At 37.9% G+C, this 11190-nt stretch overlaps 1 protein-coding gene across 13 annotated transcripts in view, besides 1 other annotated feature; it reads right to left on the bottom strand.

The window, feature by feature from the left end:
• Positions 1 to 608: 608 nt before the first annotated feature.
• The window catches only part of CREB5 (cAMP responsive element binding protein 5), a 526574-nt gene continuing 515992 nt past the window's right edge, over positions 609 to 11190 (bottom strand). For 10 of the 13 annotated variants that reach the window (NM_182899.5, XM_017012807.2, XM_017012808.2 and 7 more), the window contains 2 exons: positions 8324 to 8432; positions 609 to 7387 (listed from right to left, as the gene is read on the bottom strand). In NM_182899.5, the coding sequence (NP_878902.2) occupies positions 7224 to 7387; positions 8324 to 8432 (273 nt within the window). In that variant the 3' untranslated portion in view covers positions 609 to 7223. Of the gene's footprint in view, positions 7388 to 7518; positions 7743 to 8323; positions 8433 to 11190 lie in introns of those variants that run through there. The other 3 variants (XM_047421068.1, XM_047421069.1, XM_047421070.1) reach the window with 1 other exon arrangement.
• Positions 10544 to 10723: an enhancer, noted in NCBI's record as "active region_25800". NCBI's record gives its function as "activates an Ori minimal core promoter by ATAC-STARR-seq in GM12878 lymphoblastoid cells {active_cell/tissue: GM12878}" and the evidence as "EXISTENCE:reporter gene assay evidence [ECO:0000049][PMID:35858748]".

Raw genomic sequence — 11190 nt, 5'->3', positions numbered from 1 at the left:
TATCGGAAAGGGGTCCCGGTCCAGACCCCAAGAGTGGGTTCTTGAGCTCCTGCAAGAAAGAATTCAGGGCAAATCCGTAAAGTGAAAGCAAGTTTATTAAGAAAGTAAAGGAAAGAAAGAATGGCTACTCCATAGACAGAGCAGCCCCGAGGGCTGCTGGTTGCCCGTTTTTGTGGTTATTTCTTGATGATATGCTAAACAAGGGGTGGATTATTCATGCCTCCCCTTTTTAGACCATATAGGGTAACTTCCTGTCGTTGCCATGGCATTCGTAAACTGTCATGGCGCTGGTGGGAGTGTAGCAGTGAGGACGACCAGAGGTCACTCTTGTCACCATCTTGGTTTTGGTGGGATTTAGCTGGCTTCATTACTGCAAACCGTTTTATCAGAAAGGTCTTTATGACCTGTATCTTGGGCCAACCTATCTCATCCACTGACTTAGAATGCCTTAACCTTCTGGGAATGCAGCCCAGTAGGTCTCAGCCTTATTTTACCCAGCTCCTATTCAAGATGGAGTTGCTCTGGTTCACATGCCTCTGACAAGACTATGTGAGGAATAGATGTCATTACCCCCAACCCCAAATTTCATCATACAAAGGTGACATATATTATTTGCATTTGAGTGCTTTATTATATTGGAATTGCAGTGATATTAACATTTGTACAAATGCACAAAATCTTGTCTCTTCTTGCTAGAAAGAGATGTAAAAATCTGACCTAGTTGAACAGTCTTAATGAACTCATTGTCCATTGGTAACAATAAATGTGTTCACGATGCAACAAAAAGCTTAACACAAAATTAAACATATTAAATGCTGCAGCAAGTATTTACATGTATGTACCCCTTTTTTTCTCCTTCCAATAAGGAAGGTGGTTGCTTTACAAATAGACAAACAAACACAAATGCTTTGCTGTTTACAAATACAAAGAACCCCAAGTCCAGAACTTAAAGTGACAGCACCTTTTTGGGACTTCCTCAGTTAACACTTACTTTACACAGTGCTAAACTTTTTTCTTTTAATTATATTTTTGGACAATATTTATATTCCAATTGTCCTAGAACATTGTATTTGAACTGAGCTATTTTTCTGGGCCTTTTCAGAGGATCCCAAACCCTATGTCCTCTCTAGAGAGAACATTTCAAGCTTATCTGTTCTCCAAGACAGTTCTCAAAGGCAACATTCCTTTCTCTATGAGGCAGATGTGATTTAGCAGAACTTAGAAGGGAAAAAGGTGAGTAGGTTGTATTTTCTACTGGCTGCTGGTTGGGAAGGGTCCTTTCTCTTAAACTCCCTCCACTCAACACAACTGATACCTTTCATTATCTCCTGTAGTGTCTGTGGCATTGGTATTCTAAAGGAGAAAACTAGAATCTAATGAGCTTATTGTGCATAAGATTTTAATGATGTATTTAAAGCTAATTTATTCAGCTTCCACATTCTCAGTCCTGAGGCTAAATTATTCTATTGTAAAATATCCAATCCTATAAAGTTCTATAATATGAAGCTCAATGTAAGAATATCTTAAATGGCTTAGAAGGAGCTTTCTAGATCCTGGCTTCTAATGAGCTAGATATTGTAAGTTGGTCTAAATACAACAGTTGGTAATTATTGATTCCTTTCTGATGACAAGTTGGAAAGGTATCAGAGTGCCACTTAAGAGTATTAATCTTTTAACAAGTGTTGGCAATTTGGCCTTACCCCCCACTTCAGCTGTGGTTAAATAGCTTTTTTAAAAAATAGACAATTTATAAGGAAAAAAATATATAAACACTCTTTAAGCAATTTGGCTACAAGCATTACATCACTGAAAAACTCCACAAGAAATAGTAAAATATTTTGAATGGACATTCACTTTTTCATTTTCACAACATGATGAGCTAGGTTTTTTGTTTTTTAAATTTCTTTGTGTTTGTTTTGGTATTGAATTTTACTTGTAAGTTTATTGCTGCTGTGTCGTCTTATCCTACCTTAGATTATAATTGTGAAATAGAGGTGCTGTCCCTAATTATGTTACAAGGCAACATTGTATTTTTGAGACCTAGGAATGAAATCGATAGGGCCACTGTTCTTTCAGTGGCCTCAGAGAGTCTATGGCTAGGACAACAGTCAGATGTGCACCAGGGTGCACAAAAGAATAAGTCTCCTGGCTTATTCAGGACACTTTGGTTTGGAAGGTGAGAGAAAATTCTTAAGTATAGCTTAGCTGCTGCCTCACATCTGTTGCATAATATAACATTTTTAAAAAACATGCTATGAATAAAGGGATAAAGAGTATAAACCATATAGTGTACTGGCTCTTCTCCTTGGCATTCTTGTAGTAGGCTTCACCTAGGCTGATGTGAGACACAGGTCTCAGCTGTGCTACCAATGGACGCACATAAATGTACCTGGTGCAAATATCTGTAAAGTATTTTAAATGATGCCGCTCAGAGCCTTGGAGGAGGGGTGGGGGGTATTGTAAAGGAGAGCAAAGGCAAGTTTGAGGACAGAGAAGAGGTTAGAAAGAGAATAAGAGAAATACAAAGGGATCAAAAAGCTAAAGTGCAATTTTTAAATATAAATTATTTTAAAAGCAGAAAAGAGATTCTAAATTGCTACTGTTCGCATAGGCACGGTTTTATTCAAATTTAAATGGGTTGTTTCCTTTCCCTTCTCAGATATACTGCATAATGGAGCTTGAATGGCTTAAAGCTACTGCATATTGTTCGGGAAGGGACAAAAAGCACTAAGGGAGCTGAATAGTGCAAGGCTTTCTAGGAAATTGGGGTGGGGTGGAGAGAGGCAGAGATGAAGCTGTTTTTACACTTCTACAAGAAAGCTGTTCCAGTTAGAGTTACTGATTCCCTTTAGCTGAACTCTGCTTCCTAAATGAAAGAGCTTACTTTAAAAATGAACACACAGAAATAAATGTTTAAAAAAAACTGTTCAGAATGTTGATTAAAAAATAACTCACAGAGCAATAAAAATCCTTGAAATGTCTATGCACAGAGATCTAAGCAAACATTTCCACCAAATGATGGAGAATAGCCATTTGAAACCCTGAAAAATGAAAATACACATAACTATAGTAGTTTATTATGGACTAACACTTTAAAAACAAGTAGATCCTACAGAATACTGTTCAAATGGAATGTTTAAAAATAACATTTATTAATAAATATCTTATAAAATTCTAAATTAATAGATTCCTGTTCAAATTTTGCTTTGGTCCTTTGAATTCCACTGTATACACACATACATACATATATATTTTCTTAGATGGTTTTTCCTTTTTTTAACCAGAAAGAAACACATTCTATCCTAACTGGATGGCTAGTTTTATAGCAGTTACCGAGGCTTAAAACTCCCCAGCCAAAGGCTTGTCTGTTACCGCAGCTGGTTTATGATTTTAATGACAAACTCAACTTACACACTAAAGTTTACTTAACAGGCAACAACCACCAGAACATTCACCGTCGACGTCCTTCTATCAGAATACGCTCTCCATTTTGTTTCACTGACTACATAGGATCTGAAGAGTATTTGCTCTAAGTCACCCTAATTACTATAATATATACTGTGAGCACACAAACTGCTTGTCTCCCACAGGCTGTGTTAAGACTGTGACTTGCATCCGTTGATGTGGCCGCAGGAGAGGGCTGAGTAGTAGTGTAACGGGAAAACATCCGACTTAACACTTGGCTTTCAAATTAGTACATTCATCCATGGCTGGGATTTTCACTCTACCTCTCCTGGCTTCGTGGATTGAGAAATGTGTCAAGGAGAAACAATTAAGATGTGGACACCTCCATTTAAGTGACAGTTTACCTGATAGAAATGCTCTCAGGTGTACTTATCTGAGTTGTTAACTCCCATCACATAAGGCAGGGGAGGCACTATAGACGTTCCCAGGGAGGCTGGCAGTGACTTCAGAGACAGATCTCACCGATCAAGAAAACCACACACGAATGGGGAGAGGCAGTGTGACAGGATTTTCCCTCCTTAGGACAGGTGCTCTGCAGGCCGTGATGATTGATTCATGAACACATGGATGGGTGACCCAGTAACTGGCTGAGGGAGGAGAATGGAGTACAAAGATATTCTCCCAAACAGGCAAAAAGTGTAGGACAAGGAGGAGGGATTTTCAGGCAGATTGATTATTCTGTTGTCTGGTGACGGCTGGGCCTTTAGGTAAAAGACTTAATATTGATAAGCCAAGTGTTGGATTTGACCAATGTATCTTTCTGTTTGGAATTTCAAGAAGCACTGACAACTAGTTGGAATCTTTCATTTACTGTATTTCCATACCGTGAATGAACACACCTAAAGGCCCTGAGTAGAACAAGAAGACAGTTTATTCTAATTATATGTTGAGGCCGGTTTGCTAATGTGTGTGGTTGGTTTTCCTACTTAGCATAAAAAACAGACATAATTGAGCTATATATAATGCACATCAGTCAAACTGTCAAGTTGCTGAACGAAGAAAACTCAGGCAAGTTCTTAACTGCCGAGGCTTTCAGCCTAACAACTAAATATTTCAATCAAAAGGTGGAACAGAAGTAAACTAAACCATCATTGTAGTGACAGTCACTCCCTGGACATTCTGATATTACTAGTGGATTTTTTAAAAATCCATTTTATTAAGTGCTATGCATGCAGTAAAGAAAGAAAAATTTTTGTTTACTTAAAACAAAGCAAAACATAACATAAAAATTAAAAATTAAAAAACCCAACTAAACATTTTAATGCACTCTTTCTCCTTTTTGTGGAGGGGAGGGGAGACACATAGATGGTCCTAGGAAAGAATTTTGAAATATGATTTTTGATTTCAAAACAGAGATATGAATGTTAACTTCTTTTTAAAGCTGAGTCTTAAACATTTCTTAGGAAGCCAGTCAGATTAAACCATTCAGCTGTTACTGTTGGAATTTAAAAAACAACAACTATGAATTCAGTATTTAAAATACTCGAAAATGATATGTTTGTCTAAAATATAATAGAAAATTATTCCATTTGCATTTTTTCTTTTTTTCTCTTTTCTTTTTTTGCTTTTTTTTTTTGCTTTTGTTTTGATTCTTCAACCATATATCCAAGTCATAAGTTTCACTGGACACTCAAAACCATCTTTTGAAAGCACTGCATACAAGGAAAGATTGTTGATAAATATTGATTTAAAAAGTAAGTTATTAGATAAAACTGAAACTAGTTATATAAAAATCATGCTTCGAGACCCTCATATTTTCTTTTTTTCTCCAAAATAGATTCTTATACTATAGTGAGAGAAAAAAACACATCCTTCCCTTTTCTGCACTCTTATAAAAGCTACACCTTTTGTAAAATACTGTTCTTTTAAAACCCATGAACACACACACACACACACACACACACACACACATTAAGAGGTCAAGCATTCAAATGGAGATGAAACACCAGCACCTGCCTAGATTGCTAGAGAGAAACATTCACCCCTGTTATTTGTGAGATGTGATATTAAAACATTAGCACAGTAGAATGGCTTGTTTCAAGGAGGCACGACTGTGGTTCAGGGACTATCTGCTTTGTATCACGGGCAAGTTCACAAAAGTTGTTGAAAATAAATCAGAATAATTCAGAAGAGTGAAGTAGGCTGGGTGCAGTGGCTCACACCTATAATCCCAACACTTTGGGAGGAAGAAGTAGGATAGTTTGAGACCAGCCTGGGCAACATAAGACAGACCTCATCTTTTATTTTAAAATAAAAGTAAAAATAAATTAGCCAGGCATGGTTATGTGAACCTGTGGTCCCAGCTACTCAGGAGGCGGAGGTGGAAGGATAGCTTGAACTCGGAGGATGCTGCTGCAGTGATCCATGATCGCACCACTGCACTTCAGTCTGGGCAATAGGTGAGACTCTGTCTCAAAAAAGAAAAAAAAAGAGTGAAGTAGCCTGCACCTCATCCATGGGGTTCCTTCAGCAGTCAAAGAGTGCTTAACTGTTGTGGGAAGGCTAAAAGTGCCCCTATGGAAACACTGGGTTTTCTTTCTCTCTTTGTTTCTCCAGTAGTTAGTCTATTTTCACCCCCCAGAACAGCAAAGCCGGTTCCATAGGCTTAAGAAAAAAAAAAAAATAAATCTTAGGCTATTAGCAGCTGATGATTGAACAATGTAATCTGTGTAGTGAATAGAGCCCTTCTGAATTATTATGTAGTACATGGATTTTCAACGTTATAGGCAGGCCGTATAAAACCAGTCGCAATCCAAGGGTGTCATGTTATAGCCCCACATCAAAATTTGGACTTTCGCAATCAAGGCTTACAAAGCTCCCTTCCCTAGTGTCTCCCCAGCTGGTATTCAACCATGCTTCACTTATAACTAAACCACCTTTCATTTGCTGTGATTATTAAAAACATTAAATCAGGCACATTAAACATCTCCTGGTTACTATTTTGTGAAAAGCAAGAGTTGAATGAACTCCAGCTGTGGGTGAAGTGTAAGTGAAGCAATGGTTAGGTCCACGTTTTGGAGGTTTGCTTTTTTTTTTTTTTCTTTAAACATTATTTTCTTATTCACATGCAATGCTAAAGGGAAAAAAATAAAACAGAAGGAAGTCAAAATGAATAGTAAATAGGGAGCCTAAGAAAAAGTGGAAATGGAGAAGAAAACTGGGCATTAGCAAGTGGACCAAGAGGAGGAGAGGTGAAGAGATGCTTGGTGGTATTATTTGGACATCAATGGATCTTATAATATTTTATAGTAAGAAAAAAAAAGGTATGGGAAAGGCTGTGTGTTTATCTGGAATTCTGGTGACACCACAGCACAAACTCAACATGAGTTAAGATGTCAAAAGATTTCCTACCCAGTTACCTTGGATCTGTCTTACTTGACATCTAGGTATACCTCATTTTAGCTAAAAGCTGTGGTTTAACAAGATTCAATGTTTCAGGCAAAGGGTTGGACTGATAAGAATGAAACCATGGCTATATACAGAAAAGGTTCAGTTTATAAACAAGTAACTGGTACCAGAAAACTGGAGAAAAGCACCAAAGCGTTTCCCAAGCTGATAGATATTAATTGCATAACTCCCTTTTTTCTTATATAACTAAGTATAAAAGACAACATTTCCATAATAACTATAAAAATGAAAGCCAGTCTTTGAAGAACTGAGGAGTCTTCCAGGTCTGAGTTAATTCTAAAAATGCCCTTAAAAGAAAGGACGCATGGTACGCTACAGCTCTTCTTGGAGGCCAGGTCTGATGGTGCATTTTAAAGAATCGGATTCAGGTCTGTTCTGTGAGTGGTGAGCTGGCTGAGGGTGGAGCTTCCTACCACCTCGCTGACCGATGAGGAAGTAGTGATGGTATTATGCTGGATGACTTGTTGCTGGGAGCAAGCTGGGACAGGACTAGCAGGAGGGCTACTCTCTGGACCTAGGGAGAAAAAAAAAGACAACACACACACATACACACACACCAATATAGGTCTTTTTTGTATGGACTTGTGGACTCCTCAGAGAAACTGTACTAGATATTTACTTGAAATAGAAGTTTCACACATTTTCTTCTGAAAGTTAATTTCAAAACTTTATTTTCAACTGTTGTCACAATGCTATGCCTTTCCAGTTTATATCTACGAGCAAAGCCATGCTTTCTGTATCAGTAAAATGATTTGATGTGTTTCAGTCATGGATATGTGAACTTCCCCATTTTGTCTTTTTAAATAGCCATCCGTATATCAAATGTGGAAAAATACTCACATGTGGTGGGAGAATCTGTGTTGCTCAATCTAAAAAATTATTTGAAAATAAATTGACCTTCAGCCATGAATCCCTGCTCCTCCCACCATCCCTACTCAACTATCATTTAACCAACTGGCATTCCAGATGCAGAAACTGGGGTCTGAAGGAAGGGATCATTTTACATATTGGTAAACTGAGGCCAGTCACTAGCTTTTCAGCCCAGTGAGTAACATGCAGTGTTTCTGGAGGCACTGGATATGATTCACCCAAGGCCTGGTTCCCAGACCACAGATTTCTGAAGGCGACTGCTAGGCCACTGGTACTTGGGCTTCAGCTGGCTCTTTTCTTACTGGCTGCAAAATTGGAATTTGGTATTTCTTTTGATACTTTGAAATGCTAGGGAAGGAGTGGCCAGAAATTATCAGGAGGTGGTGGGCATGGTGTTGCACAGGGGTCAGAAAAAAGGGATCCCCTTGGAAGAATAGTCTGGAAGCCACTCAAGAATTCTTGTATATCTGCCTGGAAGTACAATCTACACTTTACTTTTGCTCTTTCAATCAAATTCAGTGCAAACTTAGTGGCAAAAAATATTGGACACTAAAGAAAAGTGAAAAAGTCGGCGACTTACTTAGATATCCTTGTGATTCTTTCTGCATGGCTGTTATTGGGCAGTCTTTATGTGTTAACAACAACTGTTTCAGCTGGGCCACCTCATTTTTCAACATAGACACTTCATTCTAAAAGAGATATGTATTAAAACCATGTTGAGAAGACCAGAGGATACAAACCCACAGCCCTGTGCACTTTCAACAACAAAACTGGCAAACTCTTCCATTATGTCTAAATGACATTAAGAATATTATTTAATGTGGTTCACCTGAAAGTTTGTAGCTTACCTTTAATTTGGCCCTCACATTTCCCAGGGGCTTTCTGCAGAGCTTAGGTTTTAACTCAAGAGCTGAACCTTATTAAAAGGCTAGACCACACCCTTAGGTGATGGGAACCGAAGCCAGGTGAGAATCCTTACTCCACACTGACTGTGTGACCCTAGGTAGATTACATAACCCAGCTGAGCTCCAGCAACCTCGTTATAAGATGGGGATAAGAAGAGTACATTATTTGTGTTACTATGAGGATTAAATACAGTAATAGATGGGAAACAGAACAATACCCAGCACATAATAAGGACTTAATACATTTAACTATTGTAACCTTCACAAGCTCAGGTTTACATCCAATTGAGAATGTGAATATGAGGCGCACATTGGGCAGAATTATGTGGTAGGATTTGTGGCTTCCACCTGAAATGCAATCAGAATAAGCTGACTCATCTACCATCAGATTTTCCAAAAGAAGTCTGTGTTGCTCAATCTAAAAAGAATATCTGAAAATAAATTGACCTTCAGTCATGAATCCCTGCTCTCCCCACCATCTCCTACTCAATTACTGTTCATGGGATACTGTTGAGCAGAGCACATCTACCTGCCTGATGCCCACTGAGCAGGAGGTATGGAAGCATACAGTACACATGTTGGTCAGCTGCAGGTGGATGATGTCAGCTCAGGGTGGCAAGGAGGCAATGAAGTTTTGGGCCATGATTGAATTAATTTGATTGAGTTCATTGATTATTTGGTCAATTTCGGTCTATAAAATACTCTTTCCCCCCTCAATATCAGGATATTGTGGATGGTGTGGGGTTTTCTTCTTATTTACTCATGTAAGTGCCTCGGATCTCTACTTTATCTGTTAATATTAATTCACAAAGGCATGCTCATAGCTTTGTAGAATAATGAACTTGGCACCCATTGTCTACAAATATAAACATAAAATAGATGGTAGCTCCGAGATGCTTCCACTTGATAAAAGTGAACGTAAATGTAGCACTATCTTGAATAAGCCACTTAAAAATTGTGATCAATAATATCCTCTCTTTGGTCAAGGTTTATTTGTGGCTGCCAGGCATTATACCTCACATGTAGGAGACTTAAAAAATGCATGCACACCGAAAAGGACGATTAACATTGCTGTCATTAAGTTGTACCTACACTTTCAATATGAACTTGGCTTTTCAGCCATGTATTTATCACCTAGGAAAGTATGTTTGGGATTCTAGAAGTTGCGCTAAAAAAAATTGAAATCTGTTTTAAGGAATATCTCCCATTTCTAAATTTCTTGGTGAAATAAATTATAAGCAACCACATATTGAGTAACATTAATAACAAAAATAATAAAATAAAACAATGACAAAATAATAAAAATCTCATCTACAAATCTCATCTCATTCCCTTTCTCTTCCAAACTTTATTTTTACAAAATAAAAATGACTATTTGGGAAATTAGCCTTAATGATGAATAAATCACTTAATCAAACAAGAAAATTGCTCTTACATCTCAGAACATACAAGAAGGCAAATTGTACCTCCCAACTCCAAATGAATGTGATTGATAAGGGGCTCTGTGGAAACCAAAAGTGACCCTGTCAATTCCAAGGTCAGTGGGATAACTTACAGGACAATTTATTTTAGCCTTAAACACTAACTTCTTCCTCTTTGACTTTACACCTATCTAAATTCAGATGGCCTTCCTTCTTTTTCTCAGTTCTCCTTCTGCTCAAAATAGCACATATAAAAGAAAGTCACTTCTAGACCATCAAATGAAGGCAATCTCTGGTTAAAAAAAAACAACCAAACAAAAACCAAGAAAGGAAACAGAGATGTGTTTATGTGTGTGTGTGTGTGTGTGTGTGTGTGTGCGTATATATTTGCTTCAGAAGGAAATGTCATATTATTTGCATTTAGACTACAGAAATAACACTTTTCTGAAATCGAAACTGCTAGACACCTTGCCCCCTGAGTAGAAGCTCTCAGCTGCAGATAATGTAGACAATGGATCTTAGAAAATGGAATCAAGTTCTAATTTCTAGTGAATCCACACTTTTCTACCTAGAAAACAAACAAGAAAAGTATTAAAAACAAAACTGGGTTCTCTTGCTTTCTTATACTTTTGGAAGAAAAAACACCCCTGCCTGTGGCCATCTTGGAGAGGTTGAATTTAGTCTCCATTTCTTCCCCCACTATGTCCTGGGCAATGAAACCCTTTCTTGGCAGCATTCGATCTCCCAGGCACAAAGTGTTCATTGCCCCTTCCCTAAGAAAACACTCAATTCTATTCTCTGGGTTTCTACAGTTAGCAAAGAGCTAACTGCCTATGATATTTGGCATGCCCCAAACAGTTTCACAATAAATTTTTGCTTTCATAAGTCTGTTTTACTATAAAAAGAGCACTAGTCAGCACATGTGGTGCCCTGGCCTATCACCAAAACCCCATACAAAGTATATGACTTTGGTGGCATTTAGTCTATGAACAGCAAAACACTTTATTAATAAAGCAATATGTTGTAAGTACAGAGACCAAAGGCCTGAGTGTTGTGAGGATCTGTAAAAATGCAGAACCCTGAGAATATTGAGACAACTGACCATCATTTAAAGATATATG

Source organism: Homo sapiens, chromosome 7, assembly GCF_000001405.40.
Source record: "Homo sapiens chromosome 7, GRCh38.p14 Primary Assembly".
NCBI classification, from domain to species: domain Eukaryota; kingdom Metazoa; phylum Chordata; class Mammalia; order Primates; family Hominidae; genus Homo; species Homo sapiens.
This window is presented reverse-complemented; position numbering and strand designations above follow the sequence as displayed.